Raw genomic sequence first — 18,407 nt, forward strand, 5'->3', positions numbered from 1 at the left:
AAGGAATTATGATCATATCTGTTTTTCAGAAGAAGTAGCCAGGCTCAGAGAGGTGAAGCTACTTGCCCAAAGGCACACAGCTTTTAAGTGGTGGAGTCGGGACTGGGATCCAGGTTGGCCTGACTTTAAATTTGGTACTTTCGTTCTTCCCACTGTCATCTCAGATCACGATTCAGATCGTGGCTGAAGACAATGTGCTCTAAGGTCTGGTCCACGTTCACTCTTGGGTCACTTCTCCCAGCCTCAGTTTTTCACCTGTGGGATGGGTAAAGCAACACCCTTGGATGACACCAAGGATTGGGGGCTCAGTGACACTTACTGACCGTGCCCTTCCCCAAATGGGTGGCCTTGGGCAAGTAACTTCACCTCTCTGAGTCTCCATTGCCTCCTCTGTTGGTTGGAGAGACCTATGCCTGCCTCGTGGGGAAAAAGCACCCAGTACAACAGAATACGTGCTCAGTGAACACTTTCTCTCCTCTCCACTTAAATGGACTCTTGATGCTGAGATAAGAAGTGGATTGGTGAGATGCTGAGCGACGGGTAGGGCAGCTCCTGGCTGTGGACTGACACCTGTCCTGCCCTCCCTGCAGTCTCCATGAGGTTCACTGGCCTGTGCGGGCACCTATGTGATGTTTCTTTTTTTTTTCTTTTCTTTTTTTTTTTTTTTTGAGACAGAGTCTGGCTCTGTGCCCAGGCTGGAGTGCAATGGCGCGGTCTCGGCTCACTGCAACCTCCACCTCCTGGGTTCAAGCCATTCGCCTGCCTTAGCCTCCCTAGGAGCTGGGACTATAGGTGCGCGCCACCATGCCCAGCTAATTTTTTTATTTTTAGTAGAGACGGGGTTTCACCATTTTTGCCAGGATGGTTTCAATCTCGACCTCGTGATCTCTCTGCCTCGGCCTCCCAAAGTGCTGGGATTACAGGCGTGAGATGCATTGAATCAGTGTCCAGCATTTTCCTCCCCAAGTTAGCTCCCGTTCCGGGAGGCAGAGGGGTGGGAATCCTTGGGCAGGTTGGTTGTAGAAACATCCTTCCATTCAGTTCCTTTACCCCTGCCCAATGTCTCCCAGCCCATGGTGTGTGCTCTGTGTGTCATCTCTTTGCACACCTGTCCCCTTCAGTGGACTGGGAGCCCCTTGAGGGCAGGGTCATACCCGATTAACTTGTTATAGAGTATGGGGCATCAACTTGGGCAGCAATGGGGAACGGTGTCTCTGGAAGGTGGAACAGCCTGGGTGAAGGCATGGAAGGAGAGAGGCAGCAGTAAGTGGAAACCACCGTTTATTGAGTACCACTGTGTGCTGGCCTCTGTGCTGGGTGCTTTACACACATAAACTCATTTAGTCCTCATAGCAGCCCTGGGAGGATGCTAAGATATGATTTCCATTTTATTTATGTATTTTGTTTGAGACAGGGTCTTATTCTGTCATCCAGGATGGAGTGCAGTAGTGGGATCATAGCTCACTGCAGCCGTGAACTCCTTGGCTCAAGTAATTCTCCTGGCTCAGCCTCCCAAGTAGCTGGGGCTACAAGGACATATCACCATGCCTGGATAATTTTTATATATTTTTTATAGATACGAGAGGTCTTGCTATGTTGCCCAGGCTGGTCTCGAACTCCTAGACATAAGCGATCCTTCCACCCTGGCCTCTCAAAGCACTAGGATGACAGGCATGAGCCACCACACCTGGCCTTATTTCTTCTTTGAAGAAGTGCAAACTGAGCCTCCATGCACGGGGCAAGGGACTTTTGCAAAGTCACATGGTTGGGAGTGCAGAGTCTAGAGGGCGTCCAGCTCTGACTCCAAATCCAAACCTGGCCTCTCTCTGGATTGTAGGAATCTCCTGGGCGCTCTAAGCCCAGCCTGGTTTAATGGAGAGAGAATATTTTGGATTTTATTTTCTTTTACCAAATTACCTGAAGACTTTGATTGACCTTGAGACTTTACCTCAGACAAACCCTGGGCATCTTACAATTTGAATTTTATCCATTGATTTTTAAAAATTGAGGTAAAACATAAAAGTGTATAACGTATACTAATTTTAAGTGTACAACTCGATGTTTATATTCTCTCTCCCATATTCTTTGTCTCTCTCTTTTTTTTTTGAGACGGAGTCTTGCTCTGTCGCCCAGGCTGGAGTGCTGTGGCGCGATCTCGGCTCACTGCAAACTCCGCCTCCTGGGTTCACGCCATTCTCCCGCCTCAGCCTCCTGAGTAGCTGGGACTATGGGCACCCGCCACCACGCCAGGCTAATTTTTTGTATTTTTGGTAGAGACGGGGTTTCACTGGTTAACCAGGATGGTCTCGATCTCCTGACCTCGTGATCCACCCACCTCAGCCTCCCAAAATGCTGGGATTACAGGTGTGAGCCACCGCACCTGGCCTTTCTCTCTCTTTCACCCAGGCTGGAGTGCAGTGGTGTGATCGTGGTTCACTGCAACCTTGATTTCGTAGGCTCAAGCAATCGTCCCGCCTCAGCTTCCTAAGTAGCTGGGACTACAGGCTCATGCCACCATGCCTGGCAGATTTTTAATTTTATTGTAGAGACAGGGTCTCACTCTTGCTCAGGCTAGTCAACTCCTCCCACCTCAGCCTCCCAAAGTGCTGGGATTACAGGCATGAGCCACCACAGCTGGCCATGTTATTATTATTGTTTATTATTTATTTATTTTTTTGAGATGGAGTCTCACTCTGTCACCCAGGCTGGAGTGAGGTGGTGCAATCTTGTCTCACTGCAAGCTCTGCCTCCCAGGTTCACGCCATTCTCCTGCCTCAGCCTCCCGAGTAGCTGGGACTACAGGTGCCCGCCACTTCGCCCGGCTAAGTTTTTGTATTTTTAGTAGAGATGGGGTTTCACCGTGTTAGCCAGGATGGTCACGATCTCCTGACCTCATGATCCATCCATCTCGGCCTCCCAAAGTGCTGGGATTACAGGCGTGAGCCACTGCACCCAGCCAATGTTAATATTATTAAACACACATCAGCAACTATCTGCCAGATCAAGATACAGAACATTCCTCCTTCCATGAAAGGCTCCTTTGAGCCCCCTCCCAGGCAATCTCCATCAGAGGTACCCATCTCACTCCAGACTAATTGTCTCAACTTCTCTTACCATGTTAGTTTCTCCCATTCTTGAACTTTGCATAAACAGAAGCACATGGGATGCAGGCTTTTGTGCCTGGCTTCTTTGACTCCACACTGGGTCTGTGAGATGCCTATATGTGGCTGCGTGTCTCAGTGGCTTGTTCTTTTTCATTGCTGTGTAGTGCTCCATCGCTGTGCTCTGGGTATACCACTCTTTGTGGCTCCATTCTCCTGCTGATAGACATTTGGGTTGTCAGTTGACTTATTCTGTTCACTTGACTTCTTTCTGTTTTCATGATTTTGATCCAAAGAGTTTCTTTTGTCAGGGCACTCTGCAGAGGTGTTTGAAGAACAATTGGCTCTCTGGAAATTTAAGAAACTATGACTGTTTTCATGATCCTAATCATTTTGAATCAGAAACATATATATTTATTGATCCATGTCTTCTGTTCAGAAAAAAGACATTGGGAGGGGACAAGGAAGAGAAAGGAGCAAATGAGCTTTAGTGGAAGTTTTCTCATTCTTCTCTTCACACAAGCTACCTGGTAGATGGTGGAATCCTTCTGTAATTTAAAGTCAAATGCTCATAGGCCACAGTGGGAGCCATAATAAATGTGTGGGCACTGTCCTTTTGGCGCCCTTTTTCTGCTACTTTGAGATCTCATAAATAACAGAGTATGTTGCTAAGATGCCTTCCGTCCCTCTGTTTGCTCCAGCTGCAGTTGCTAGGTTGAGCTCCTGGTTGCTAGGGATTTTGTGATCCTGTGGCGGCCCAGAAATATGATGGATCAATGGAACATGCTTTTGCTATTAACTGAAATGTTTCCCAAGCAAATCTCTTAATGTCACTGTATGCTTTGACGTCGTCCCAATTGGTTGATGATTCTTGCAAGTTTCCCAGTTAGAGGAAGTGGCTTGAGTGGAGGGGACAAGTATCTTGGACTGGGAATCAGTTCAAGAATCAGAAAAGCCTGCTTCTAGTCTTGTATCTGATACTAATTTGCTGTGTGACCTTGAGCAAGTGTTACCCGCTCTCTGGGCACTGGTTGCTGCAAAATTCAAAGACTTGCTGGCTTTAACAGCTTACAGTTCATCACCCAAGTTCTCTAAGCAGGCCAAGTGCAAATCAGTTTCTCATTATCGGCTGGTGGATTATTGACAAAAGAATTCCCATTCCCGGCTCACTTCCTTTCCACCCAGCAGGCTTCTGGGCTGAGTGTCCTTGGCCAGATGGTGTGTGCATAGTAGCTTCAGACTAATTTTAATATTCAATCAAACATAATTGGAATCATAAATCTTAAAAAAAAATCCTATAATCCATAAACATCTGATCATGTCATTTTCTGTTTCCTTCTGTTAAAATCTTTGGCAGGCTGGGTGCAGTGGCTCACGCCTGTAATCCCAGCACTTTCAGAGGCCATGGTGGGAGGATTGCTTGAGTCCAGGAGTTCAAGACTAGCCTGGGCAACATAGCGAGACCCCATCTGTAAAAAAAATGATAATAATAAAATAAAATCATCTGGGCATGGCAGTGTGCACCTGTAGTCCCAGCCACTTGGGAAGCTGAGGTGGAAGGATCGTTTGAGCCCAGGAGTTTGAGACTGCAGTGGGCTATAATCACACCACTACACTCCAGTCTGGGCCGTAGAGTGAGACCCTGTCTAAAAAAAAAAAAAAAAAAAAATTAGCAGTTTTCTATTGCTGCACGGAAGACAGAAAACAAGTGCCATTTCCTTTAGTGGGAAAGCTCAGTTGGTGGTGGCTACAAGAAGCAGTATCCTGAAAGGAATCTGGACTCACTGGCTTGCTGTAGGATCTTGATTGATTAATGATGTCTGTTATGAGCTCAGGAATATCGTGGGGGCACGTATCAGTATTTACCAATCATGACTGGAGTTTAAAGCCCACGCCCTTTAGTATCATGGTTGAGGCCTTCAAGGGTGGCCCATGCTGGCTTCTCCAGCTTTATCTTCTCCCCATCTCTATCTGACCCACCTCCAAAAATAACTGCTTCCAGACGGCGTGGTGGCTCACGCCTGTAATCCCAGCACTTTGGGAGGCTGAGGTGGGCAGATCACTTGAGGTCAGGAGTTCAAGACCAGCCTGGCCAACGTGGTGAAACCCTTCTCTACTAAAACTATGAAAATTAGCTGGGTGTGGTGGCGGGTGCCTGTAAGCCCAGCTACTCAGGAGGCTGAGGTGAGAGAATCGCTTGAGCCCGGGGGCGCGGAGGTTGCAGTGAGCTGAGATTGTGCCGTTGCACTCCAGCCTGGGCAACAGAGCGAGACTCTGTCTCAAAAATAAACAAAACAAAAATAACTGCTTCCGTCGACCACCTATTGTCTCCCCAAATCCCCTTTGCTCATGTGGTTCCCTTTGCCTGTTGGGACTTCTATTATATTAAATTGGCCAACTCTGCCTATTTATCTTTCAAACTGCTATCACAATTTGATCTGCTCTATGCTATTCCCTTTGGCTGTCTTGGGTGGGATTAATTACCCCTTCTTCCTCTGATGTCCCATGATTCTCTGCATAGACCTATAGCACAACTTACCCTACAGAGCCTACCTCTAGGCCCTACCTATAGACCCTATATGGCCTATGTATCAACCTGTACCCATAGCCTACCTACCACTTAGCCCTTTTCATACTTAGTTGCTTTTATGTCTCTTTCCAGTTCTACCTTGAGAGGGCCTCAAAGTCAAGGTCTGGGCTTTGCTCATCTTTGCATCCCCAGACCAGAGCCCCGCATAGAGCAGAGCTTCCATAAATCTGTAATGCGTGCACACATGAAGGAATAAAAGCCACACTGCATTTCAAAGTCAGAGAAAAATGATTTGGATAACTTTCCCAGTCGCCTGAGTTTGTCTGTCAGTACTCCTCAGCTTAATTGTGGGTAATTTATTGTGGCAATAAAATGACCCCCGCATTCCTTCGAGACGGAGCTCAGCTTCAAGTTGTGAGCTTGTGTTTTCTCCATCGCGATGGCCTTGTTTTCTTCCTCTCTCCCTTTGCCCGCAGCCTGAAGATAAACAGAAGGCGGCAGCTGCCTTTGCCCAGCTCCAGGGTGCCATGGAGATGCTCGGCATCTCAGAGAGCGAGCAGCGGGCTGTTTGGCGGGTCCTGGCAGCCATCTACCACCTGGGTGCGGCGGGGGCCTGCAAAGGTACGTCCTTCCTGCCGGGCTCACCTGGGAGGGCAGCTGTCTCCTTTGGCAGGTGCCTGACAAGGCCCTTCTCTCGGAGCGGTGGGAACAGGGTCAATCTGTCACCTTCTATGTCTCTGGGACTTCCCTTGGGGAGGCTGCTGAAACTAGGCGTCGTGAGGAGGACACAGGGCTGGCTTTTCAAGCAAACCTTCTAGACCAGCTCTGTCCACAAGAACTTTCTGCAATGATGGAGATTACTGCGGTTCAGTGCAGTAACCACTAGCCACAGGCTGCTACTGAACACTTATATATAGTAGTGCGACTGAGGAATTGAATTTTTAATTGTATTTAATTCTACTTAATTTAAATTTAAGTAGTCATAGGTAGCCAGTGGCTACTGTACTGGCAGTACAGTAGGGCAGCTCTAGAATATGCAAGGGAAGGTTGGGTCTCTGCAGTAAAGGTGCTGTGTTTTTTTCTTTTTCTTTTTAAAATTTTCATTGAGATAGGGTCTTGCATTGTTGTTCAGGGCAGTAGTGGTGCGATCATAGCTCACTGCAGCTTCCACCTCCTTGGCTCAAGCAATCCTCCCGCCTCAGCCTCCTGAGTAGCTGGGACTACAGCTGTGCACCCCCATGCCTGGTTAATATATATTTTTTTATTTTTTTGTAGATAGGGGTCTCACTTTTTGCCCAGGCTGGTCTCAAACTCCTAGGCTCAAGCAATCTTCCTGCCTTGACCTCCCAAAGTGGTGGGATTACAGGCATGAGCCACTGTGCCCAGCCAAGGTGCTGTGTTTCTAGTTAGACATCCTGGAGATGTTCCCTGCCACATGCCCTGAAACTGATCTTGTATCCTTGTCCCCATCCTTAAGTGTCTGCTTGCGATTTTCCCCATTTTGACCTGGTCTTCCAAGTGGTTCCTGCCATCCCCCTAGTTCTTACCCTCTCCGTATCCAATCATTCACTATGTTCCAGAGATAGTCTCTGTGACATCATTTCTGTCCTAGTTTCTCTATCCTTACTGTTATCACCTTATGCGGTGTTTACGTTTGTGTGTGTGTGTGTGTGTGTGTGTGTGTGCTTGGATAGGTGCAGTAGCCTCCTTGCTGATACCTGCATTCCTCCTCCTACCCATTCTCATCATGACCATCAGGTTCCTTTCTACAACATAGACCCGTAATGTCATTCTCCGCTTAGAATCCTCTGGAGGCTCTCCCTTGCCTCCAAGTCAAATAAAATTCCTTGGCTTGGCATTCAAAGCTCCTCACCTCCTCACCTCAAAAGCTGCTCCCTTTTTTGGCAATATAGAAGGTTCTGGGGAGAGAGTGGGGATGAAGAGCAAGGGTTTCTGCCTTCATGGGGCCTTTGGTGCATTGTATTATGATTGTGACTTTGTCTAGCTCTTATCAGTGGCTGGTGGCTTCCTTTGGGCCCAGAGCATAGAACTGGAAGTTGCTTATTGAATGAACATGTGTGTGAATTGAGGTCTGTCCTGGGACTGTGCATGGATTCTGGCTGACATTCTGGGCTGTTACCTTGGCGGGGGCAGTAGAATCTTCGAGAAGGTGCTGGTGCATCCTTTCCGTCATCCCCACATTCCCGGGCCCTGTGGCCTATTCCTTTGATTCTCATCCATTTGAGCCACATACATTAACCCATTGTTTTGATTTTGGAAATTTGTAGAAGTCATACTGAGTCAGGAGTAAGTAAGATGGGGATTCAACAGTTGATCCAAGCCAAGGACAGACATGCTGGGCTGGGGCAAATATGAAAATACCAAATGCCACTTGTTTTTCCAAAAATCATCCATGGACATTCACAATGGCAAAGATATGGAACCAATCTAAGTGCCCATCCACCAATGAGTGGATAAAGAAAATGTGAGATATATATATATACACACACACCATGGAATACTACTCAGCCATAAAGATGAGATGAAATAATGTCTTTTGCAGCAACTTGGATGGAGCTGGAGGCCATTATTCTAAGTAACTTGAGAATGGAACACCAAATATCATACATTCTCACTTACAAGTGGGAGCTAAGCTATGAGGATGCAAAGGCATAAGAATGATATAATAGACTTTGGGGACTCAGGAGGGGGAGGTTAAGAGGGGGTGAAGGATAAAACACTACATATTTGGTACAGTGTACACCGCTAGGGGGGTTGGGTATACTAAAATCTGATCAATCACCACTAAAGAACTTGACCAAAAACCACCTGTACCCCCAAAATGATTGGAAAAAAAATCAGCCGTGGGCCATGCTCAGCGCTTGGCTGTTTGGGCATCACCACTACTTTGTTCAGGGAACTGTAATGTCTCTCACTCAACGTCCTGGTCACTGAGGCCAACCTGAGTCAGAAACAGACCCTTAGACAGAGATGTGGGAACATGTTGCATATTTGGGGAAGGACCCCAGAAGGCTGTGGCAGGGAAATGGGAAAATGACACAGGAGAGGGAAGGCAGGTAGTATAAGGTGCATGAAGGAGTGGCTTACCCCTGGGAAACTGAGGCTCAGTCCAGCTGGGGACCCCTGGGAGACTCTGAGGAATATGCCTCCTGGTTGTCCTATCCAAGAGACAAGGAAGTTGAGATATTTATCCAGAGACTAAGGGGGAGCCCCCTGGCTTATTAGCCTGTCACCAGGGAAGTGTAGGAGCTCAATTTTATTCCTGAGTTTCTCCTCCTGGGGCAGAGTGGGGGGGCCCCCGCCCCCTGATGTGGGCTCAAGGACCTGACCCATCACATCAGTGCATCTGATGATAAGAGAAAGTCACTTTTATAAATATTTTACTAATACTTGATGATGGCAATAATTTCTGCCAGTCCTCCCCCTATCCCACGTTATAAATTATTTTAAGAAGAGCTGCCGTCAGTCTGCCTGGGAGGCCTGCCCGATGATTTACTTACTTATATATTCTGCTTTGAAAGATTTCATAATAGGTTGCTCTAAAATCAGCTATTAAGAATTTCAAAGTCGTACATAAATGTCTTTGCTTTGTGTCATAACAGATCATTTTGAAATATATTAAGAATCATTTTCATTAATCAGGTTTTTTTTTCATTAAAATGATACTCCCTTCTCAGTGTGCCTGGCTTCCTAACTAATTCTGAGAGCCCCAATCCTGTTTTTAAAAATCAATAATAGTTCCCTTTGGGGAGAATTTGGGCCTTATAACTGGACACAGGGTTTTTGAACTGTTATAGCAATGACAATCACCACTAATATTGGCCTGGTGTTTGACAGTTTCAAAAGCACTTATACCTCTATTATGCCCTTGGATTGGATTAGATGTATGTGCTAACTTAATGGGCAAGAGTCAGGAGTCAGCCTGCTGGATATGAATCCTGGCTCAGCCTCTCTGAGCCTCAGTCTCTTCCTCTGTAAAATGGGGCTAATGATGGTACCCACTTTGTAGGCTTCTCGTGAGAACTGAAGGAGTCAGTGGCAAAAACTGTGGTACACAGGACTTGGCTCCTGGCGGGGTGTTTCATAAGGGTTCATTTTCATCCGTCTCATTTTATAGACAAGCAAACAGAGGCTCAGAGAAGGTATGCCACTGATCTGGTATCACACAGCCAGTACCTTCCAGAGTGGGGTTTGGGCCATTCTCATTTTCCTGGGGCCATTGTGCTGAGTGTTTATAGACCCGATGATGTCACCACCTCCTTAGAACAGCCTGGGAGGGGTGAGGACTGTTACGATGCCCATTTTATAGGGAAGAAACTGATGCGCAGCAGAGAGTTTCACGCATATTCCTCAGGACATAGAGCTAAAGCTAGAGATGGGATTTGGACTTAGGTCTGCCTGAGCTCTGAGCCCTGAGACCAGCCTCTGGGACCACACCTCCTACCTCCCACCTCCCAAGTACCCTGTGTTCCTGCCTATGGCAGGCCTACAATTCACCTCAATTCTGAGACTATCCTGAGTTAGCAGAGTTAACACAGACCCTGCAGGTTAAGGATTCAATCCTACAAGACTGTCTCCACTTCAGATGCCAGCTGCAAGTACCCGACCTCCCATACTTCTAGCCAAGTGGCTTTTACATAGTGAGTTCTCATGACCCCCTTCTCTTGTCTAATAATTCACTAGAATGACTCACAGGATTCAAGAACACACTTTACTTACAACCACTGCTCTATTATAAAGGATACAACTCAGGAACAGGGCAAGGGATGGGGAGAGGGCAGAGACTCCTGTCCTCTCTAGGCATGACAGCCGACAGCCTCCCAGCACTTTGATGTGTTGGAAGCTCTCTGAACCCCATCCTTTAGGGGTTTCCATGGAGGTTTCTCTATGCAGGCATGATTGATCAAATTATTGGCAATTAACTCAATCTCCAGCTCTTCTGTCACATCTTAAAAAGAAATCCTATAGCTGGGCCAGGCACGGTGGCTCACGCCTGTAATCCCAGCGCTTTGGGAGGCTGAGGCGGGCAGATCACAAGGTCAGGAGATCGAGACCATCCTGGCTGATACAGGAAACCTCATCTCTACTAAAAAAAAATACAAAAAATTAGCCGGGCATGGTGGCAGACACCTATGGTCCCAGCTACTCAGGAGGCTGAGGCAGGAGAATGGCGTGAACCCGGGAGGCAGAGCTTGCGGTGAGCTGAGATCGCGCTGCTGCACTCCAGCCTGGGCGACAGAGCAAGACTCTGTCTCAAAAAAAAAAAAAAAAAAAAAAAACCCCTATAGCCTTTAGCTATTGCCCTCTAAACACCCATCCCTAAGCAATGCTTTCCCCCAGCCATAAACAACCATGAATCTACTTTCTGTCTGTAGATTTCCTTGTTATGGATGTTTGACATGAATGCAATCATGTAATATGTGCATATCTTTGTTGTCTTTTATGACTGGCTGCTTTCTTTTTTCTTTCTTTTTTTTTTTTTGAGACAGAGTCTTGCTCTGTCGCCCAGGCTGGAGTGCAGTGGCGCGATCTCTGCTCACTGCAAGCTCTGTGTCCCAGGCTCATGCCATTCTCCTGCCTCAGCCTCCCGAGTAGCTGGGACTACAGGCATGTGCCACCACACCCGGCTATTTTTTTTTGTATTTTTAGTAGAGACGGGGTTTCACTGTATTAGCCAGGATGGTCTTGATCTCCTGACCTCGTGATCCGCCTGCCTCAGCCTCCCAAAGTGCTGGGATTACAGGCGTGAGCCACCACGCCTGGCTGTGACTAGCTGCTTTCATGTGGTGTAGTGTTTGCAAGAGTCATCTATTTTGTAGGATGGATCAGTATTTTAGTCCTTTTTATTATGGCTGAATTATATTCCATCATATGGATATACCACATTTTGTTTACCCATGGACCAGTTTTTTTTTTCTTTTATTCTTCCTGAGAGCTGGGTCATAGTAACTGCTCAGAAAATTCTAGTAGAATGTATGCCCCAAACTGGCTTGCACAACAGGTAAAATTAGGCCCATTTTGTAAAGGAGAGCCCAGAGGCAGAGCGGTTCTGTGATGGGTCAAGTATGTATGTGTATGCCAAGAAGACTAGACTTTGCAGTCAGCCACCTCCAGCCAAGTTTCAGCTCTGCCTTTTAATGGATGTGTAATCTTGAACAGGTCACTTCCCGTATCTAAGCCTCAGTTCTCTCATCTATAAAATGGGGACAGCTATGATACCTTCTCTATAGGGTGAGGAGTGATGAAACGCAACGATGTTCATAGGAAGCCATTAGTTCAGGGCTTTGTGGTTCTGGAAATGTGTCTGTTTTGTTTGTCCTGCAGATCCCATGGTAGACATAAACCAGTCCTCTGGGTCTGTGTCCCCAGTCCTCTCTTAAACTTCTAGCCAATTACTCTGAACTTGTTGGGGTTTACACTATTTTGACCTCAACTTACGGTAAGAAACATTTTACCTCTTGACCCAGTGAACACACACACACACACACACACACACACACACACACACACACATATTTTATAGAGACTAAACCACAGAGGGAATCTTCTGTATTCGTGAGTTTGAAAAAAGAAAAACAAAAACACGCCAACACTGGCAGGTAGCTACAACCATGCCCAGAAACTCACCGTGGTAAATCCACTTTCTCTGCAGCTACAAATCCCATTTTGGGTTTTGTTTCACCTTTATTTTGATTTTTAACCTTATACAGTCTCTCCACCTGGCCACCAGAGTGGCCCTTTTCACACAAAACCCAGCCCACACCATTCCTCTGTCCCCATGCCTGCCCAGGTTGCTCAGAGGCAAGCTAAGGCAGCCACAAAGATCTCCAAGCTTCCACGGAATAGGGGAGCAATGATTCCCAAGCAGTCTCTGTGCTGAGTTACTTGCTAGATCACCGGACCTGAGGAAATATTCAAGATAATGCCTTAAGGTGAGTGTGGTGCAGTTGTGGCTCAGAGAGGTGGTGTGACGTGCGCAAGGGCACACAGCTGGGAAGTGATGGAGCACAAAGCTGCTTGAACCTAAGGCTCTCAGGCTTTACACAGGGACCAGGACCCTTCTTAGTTACATTAGCATAGTTGAGGTTTTCTTCTGTGTGTGTGTGTGAGAGAGCACTCCTGAAGTCTAAGCAATTCTCCTGTGTGTGGAAGGTAGCTTTTGGCACAAGCCAGGTGGGCTCAGGTGGACACCCTCCATATAAACTTCTTGGTTGTCCAGGGCAACTGTACTTTGCTCAGCCTGGATGTCAGGGGGTGGCCCTGCTCTGTCTGGCAAGGTCCCGGCAGCGAGAAGGCTCCTGAACTTGCATTAGATGTTGCCTGACAGCCTTGGCAGATGGGGCACTGTCAGGACTGTGAGATCGGATATGATGGAAGACCGTGGGCATCACCCATAGACCCCTAATTGTCTGGTTCACCTAGGATGTCCATGCTGCGCAAAAGGTGTGGTGGGCTTGCCTGCTGAGGAGGGCTCAGCGAAGGGCCCATGGCTGTGATGGGCAAGGAGATGCTCATCTCTCAGCTCCTCTGGTGTCTGGAGGTCAAGTATGGCCTCCCCTTTCCCTCACTCCTCATGTACAGGTTCTGAGCGTGCCCTCCCTGTGCCCAGCTCTCAGTGGGGATGGAACTGGGCAGCCCCATGTTAAGGCACCCTTCCCATGCCAGCCCCACGTTGTGATTTAGCACATGGCATCCCATTCGCTCCTCCAGATAAACTCATCTGCATTCTGCAGATGAGGAAACTGAAGCTCCTCCAGGAGAAACCACTTGCCCAGGGCACACAATGAGGCTGCACCCGAGCTTGGACTGGGACTCAGGTCTGTCTGGCTCCAAGGCCTCTTCCTTCCACTGCAGCATGCAAAAAGGATGGTCAAAGGACAAATGTTCCCTGTTTGGGGACTCTCAGGTTGGACCAGGGCAAGATCGCTGTGGATTTATTCTTGGAGCCTCAGCTGGGAGCCCTAGAGCTCTCTCCAGGGATCCTCGTCTTATGATCACGTCACCCAATTGGACATAATCTCTGTCCTGGAAGCCTGGAATGGCTTCCCAGCTAGTCTCCTGGCTTCCCTTCTTCCCCATCCTTTCTACCCCGATCTGTTCTCATGCCGCAGCCAGCAGGAACTCCCAAGTTCACACGTTTGGTTGGGTTACTTCAGTAGAGCTACCGATGACCCTGTATGAGGGCAATTCCAGCTGGTCTGGTCCCTGCCCACCTCTCCAGCCTCAGTTTGCACCCATGATGCTGTGGCTCAGCTGCAGAGGATGTTTCCAGTTTGACTCTCTTGCTATTCCCTGCAAGAGCTGTGGTATGGCAGTCTTGTCCTCTCCCGCTGTCCCTACTTCCCTTTGTCAACCCCTCAGCTCTTGATTCGAAAGTCACTGCCCCCACAAGCCTTCCCTGGCCCTGAGCAAGGTCTGGTTTTCCTGCTCTGTATGCTCCAGGCATTCCCTGGCCACCTTTATTTATTTTTCATGTGGGACGATTGATTATTGGATTAATGTCTGTCTCCCATGCTGGGCTGTAGCTCTGTGAGTACAGAGGTCTTGTCTGATTCTGCTCATCGTTGCATCCCCAGGGCCTAGCACAGGGCCTGGTACATAGTATGTGCTCAATAGGTATTTACTGAGCCATGTGACTTCTTGGCAACTCTCAAAGGAGGGAGAGGTTGCCCTGGAATGGAGGTGCGATGAGGGATGTGAAGGGGTTGTGCACTTAATCACATTGGCAGGTGAAGGAGAGGGACCATGCAGGAGGACAGACAGACAAGGGCACTGAACGACAACCACTCGGCTACTGTGGGCATCCCCTCTTGCCCTGACTCTAGGACACCTCCCATCACAGGACAGGTGGCTCCTGGGCTTAGTCAGTTTATTACAGATTTGTCTCGAGAGGCTGGGCACAGCTGGCCTTTGGATCTTAGAAGCCTGCTCTTGTGGTGGCAATGAGACTGCATCCCTCCCTCTGCCTGCATAGTATCCACACTTCCTTTCTGTCTCTCTGGCTTGCCATCACTGATGGGTTCCTGGGGAAGGCAGCGGGAGGGGGCTCTGAGGGCTGGCACCACATGGCAGGCAGAAAACACCAGGTGATTTGACATCGTGGTTGATTTGCTGTTCGCCAAGGCTCATGGCTCAAGCCATCACTCCAGGTCCATTAGACAACAATTCATCCAAGCTCATGCTTCTCTCCTTTGGCAAAAAGTGGCCTGTGGAACCATTAGCTGGTGCTTGTGTATTTCGAATGGCAGGCAATGGATGCTCTCTGGAGCTAAACTTGGTAAAGAGAGAGTAGGGAGGAGGGGAGAGCTGGCTTCCCAGAACTGGACAGAGAAGCATTTGAGTCCAGGCTCCCTGATCTCCTGGCAGTGTGATTCACCCTGTGTCAGTGACTTTTCATCTCGTTGGACCTCAGTTTTCTTGTCTGATAATAACTCCACCTACCTTCTACAATCATTGTACAGTCAGATAATAAATGTTTAGTACTTGGCACATACGAGGTATTCAGTAAGCAGTAACTCTCTTTTCTTTGCAAAGCATTTTGGTTGTCATTTCTTTCTGTTGGCATTAAAGCCTGCCTCTGAGATGGGCTTGGTGAGGGTTGTTAAACCCATTTGGTGAGTGAAGAACTTGCACCTCTCAGAGGTGTGGCTCCTCACCTAAAGTCATAAAATGAAACTTCTGTGCTAGAGAACAGCAAGTTCAGAACCAGAATCCAGTTCTAGACTCTCAGCTCAGTGCTCTTTACACAGCTTAGCAGAAGGCCCGAGAGGCCAAGGGTAGTGTAGGGCAGTGGTTAGAGCACAGTCTAGAGTGACACAGATCTGGACTCAGATTGAAGTAAGAATTCCAGCACTGGCTGGCTTTGTGGCTGTTCTGTTACAGTGCTGCTGAAGGAATCAGCCCCAAAGCCCATGGCTTGAACAATCACTTTATTATTTCCCAAGGCTTCTGTGTATCTGTACTTTGGAAGGGCTCAACTGGGAGGTTTTGGCTTGGGGTCTCTCATGTGGCTGCAGTCAACTGGTGGCTGATGAAGCGTAGGAAGGCTGGAATAGCCCATTTCCCAGGCTTCATGTGGTCTCAGGTCTCTCCCTGTGGGCTAGTTGGGCTTCCTTATGGCATGGTGGCTTCAGGACTCCAAGTGCAAGTTTCCAGGAAGCAAGATGGAAGGTGCATCACCTTTTCTGAGTGGCAACACTTCTGCCATGTTCTGTTGGTAAGAATCGTGTCACAATTTCAAGGATGAGCGAAACCAAATTCCACCCCTAGATGAAGGAGCAGCAAGATTCTAGGACGTATAGGATGGGAGCTATTGGCGTGGCCATATCTTGCCATAGTGGCCTTGAGCAAGTAACTTAAGCTTTCTGAGGCTCAGAAAACTGAGGCTCAGTTTTCTGAGCCTCACAGGTCTGTTTTGCAGATGAACTGAGATGCTGTTTGCCAAGAGCTTTGGGGTACAGTGCCAGGCATGTAAGTAAGAGTTAGATTTTAAAAATCATAATGTTGCAAAGTTTCCATAGCCAATGCATCCCGGTCCCTACTGTGGTGGGGATGGAATGGCTCCTGAGACTTTTGCTCTCTGTTTTATTACCAGTGCCCCCGACCATTCTCTGAGACCCCCAAAAGACCTTCTTCCTACAGAAGAGTAAATCAAGGATGAACTCTATGTCCTCTTTGCAGCAAGATACGATTTCTCTGTCTTGGGGCCTCTTTTCTTGTATGAGATTAAAATCAGACACAATCCTCTTCCCAGGAATGACCTCTGTTAAAATCCTCTCCAAGTTTTCCCTGTTCTCCACCTCAGCCCCAGGCTGGGGATCACTTTGCATAAATTCTCACTTTTAATTCTCACAGCAACCCTGACAGGTAGGGAAGGAGTCACCATTTTTGTGGTCCAAGATGCTGAGTCTCAGGATCTTGCAATCTTTGTCAAAGTCAAACAGCAGCATGTGATGGGGCCAAGGTCAGAACTCAGTACCTGTCTGCCTCCAAAGTTCTTGCTCTTCTCCACTACAAGGCCACCCAGCTGGCCAAGCTGGTGGGTACATTCTGGGTGCTAGGATCTCCACCCTCTCTCCTGAGAGCGCCTCCTCAGCTCCATCTAATCTCCATCCAGTCCCCAATTTGGAAGGTTGTCCCTCTAAGCAGAATTGAGGAGAGCTCAGACTCGGGGCTAAAGGCATGGGGTCTGGAACCAGGCTGACCAGTGTTCAACCCTGTTTCTCCTGCATGGTCCAGGTGACTCCTTTGACCTGTGAGACTCAATGTCCTCATCTGTAAAGTGGGGATAATCAGAGTGCCTGCCTCCTAGGGTTCTTGTGAGGCTGACATTATTGAACTTGAGTATTTAAAGCTGTGTCATTGCTATCATTGGCATTATTGTTATTAACGAAAAATCAGTCCAGGGCCCAGGAGAGTTTTCCCCAGCAACTTTTAGAAGAGGCTGACCTGGGCGGTTTTTTTTGAGACAGAGTCTTGCTCTGTCACCCAGGCTGGAGTGCAGTGGTGCAATCTTGGCTTACAGCAACCTCCGCCTCCTGGGTTCAAGAAATTCTCTGCCTTAGCCTCCCGAGTAGCTGGGATTACAGGTACCTGCCACCACACCCAGCTAATTTTTGTATTTTTAGTAGAGATGGGGTTTCACCATCTCTTGGCCAGTCTGGTCTTGAACTCCTGACCTCATGATCCACCCACCTCAGCCTCCCAAAGCGCTGGGATTACAGGAGTGAGCCACCAGCCTGGGCTGGTCTTTAACCTTCTCTGATCCCTGTGGTCCTGTAGCTGTAAGAGTTGATGTGCATCTCCCTGGAGAATCAGACTATTGGTCCACCTGCCTCCTGTCCCTCACCACTTGACAGAAATGACAGTAATGTTCGGAACTCAAAATAGTGACAAGGATGAGCAATGCTTGTCTTGATGGGGGCTTTGCTTGGTTTCCTTTTTCTCTGAAGGCCCATGGGTTATTTAGTTTATTTGTCTCTCACGAAATTTGCCAGTCTACTTGCTGCTGACCCATTACTTAATATACGACGCAGTCAGAACCAAATATATCCCAGCGAGGTGCCCCATGATGGGGTTATGAAGGGAGGCTGCTATCTAGCTGGCACCTCACTCCCCGCCTGCTACCATCATAAAGTTATCAGTGCTGGAATGGATGGGGCTGTAACTCAGGGAGCCAGGAGGTGCTCATGGGGAGGAGAGACAATATCAATAATGACAAGGGCCCAGTCCCACACAGAACTGGGATACCCCGACACCAGTAGCAAGGACGGTCCATCCAGGGGTAGGAAGAAGTGGCTGGATGCTCTTCAAGCTGTGGTAAGACCTGAGTGTAGATGGTCAGTGATAGTAACAGAGGGACTGTTAACATAACACAATGACCATATATTCAAGAGCTTTGGGAAGTGTTTTACCAGTCTTATTTTAAAGCAATCATATGAGGAATACGTCAATGTTGTATGTCTATAAAAAATGGAAATAGTCCAGAAGAATAGAAAGTTTAAAAAAAAAAAAAAGGTCTTTCCTCACACCCCAGTGCCAAATCCCATTGCTATGAAAGGTGACCACTGTGAACAGTTTGGGGTATACCCTTCCTTCAGGCTTTTTTTTTTTTTTTTTGAGACAGAGTCTTGCTCTGTTGCCCAGGCTGGAATGCAGTGGCACCATCTCGGCTCACTGCAAGCTCCGCCTCCCGGGTTCATGCCATTCTCCTGCCTCAGCCTCCCAAGTAGCTGGGACTACAGGCGCCCACCACC

General features: G+C 48.0%; 1 protein-coding gene across 14 annotated transcripts in view; it reads left to right on the forward strand.

Moving 5' to 3' along the window:
- MYO18B (myosin XVIIIB) overlaps positions 1–18,407 on the forward strand; it is a 321,660-nt gene that overhangs the window by 49,658 nt on the left and 253,595 nt on the right. For 13 of the 14 annotated variants that reach the window (XM_011530461.3, XM_011530458.3, XM_017029014.2 and 10 more), the window contains one exon: positions 6,108–6,252. The exons of the other annotated variant lie outside the window; for it this stretch is intronic. In XM_011530461.3, coding sequence (XP_011528763.1) covers positions 6,108–6,252 — 145 coding nt within the window. The remainder of the gene's footprint in view (positions 1–6,107; positions 6,253–18,407) is intronic. 14 annotated transcript variants of the gene reach the window in all.

The sequence above is a fragment of the Homo sapiens genome, chromosome 22 (assembly GCF_000001405.40).
Source record: "Homo sapiens chromosome 22, GRCh38.p14 Primary Assembly".
Taxonomy (NCBI): Eukaryota; Metazoa; Chordata; class Mammalia; order Primates; family Hominidae; genus Homo; species Homo sapiens.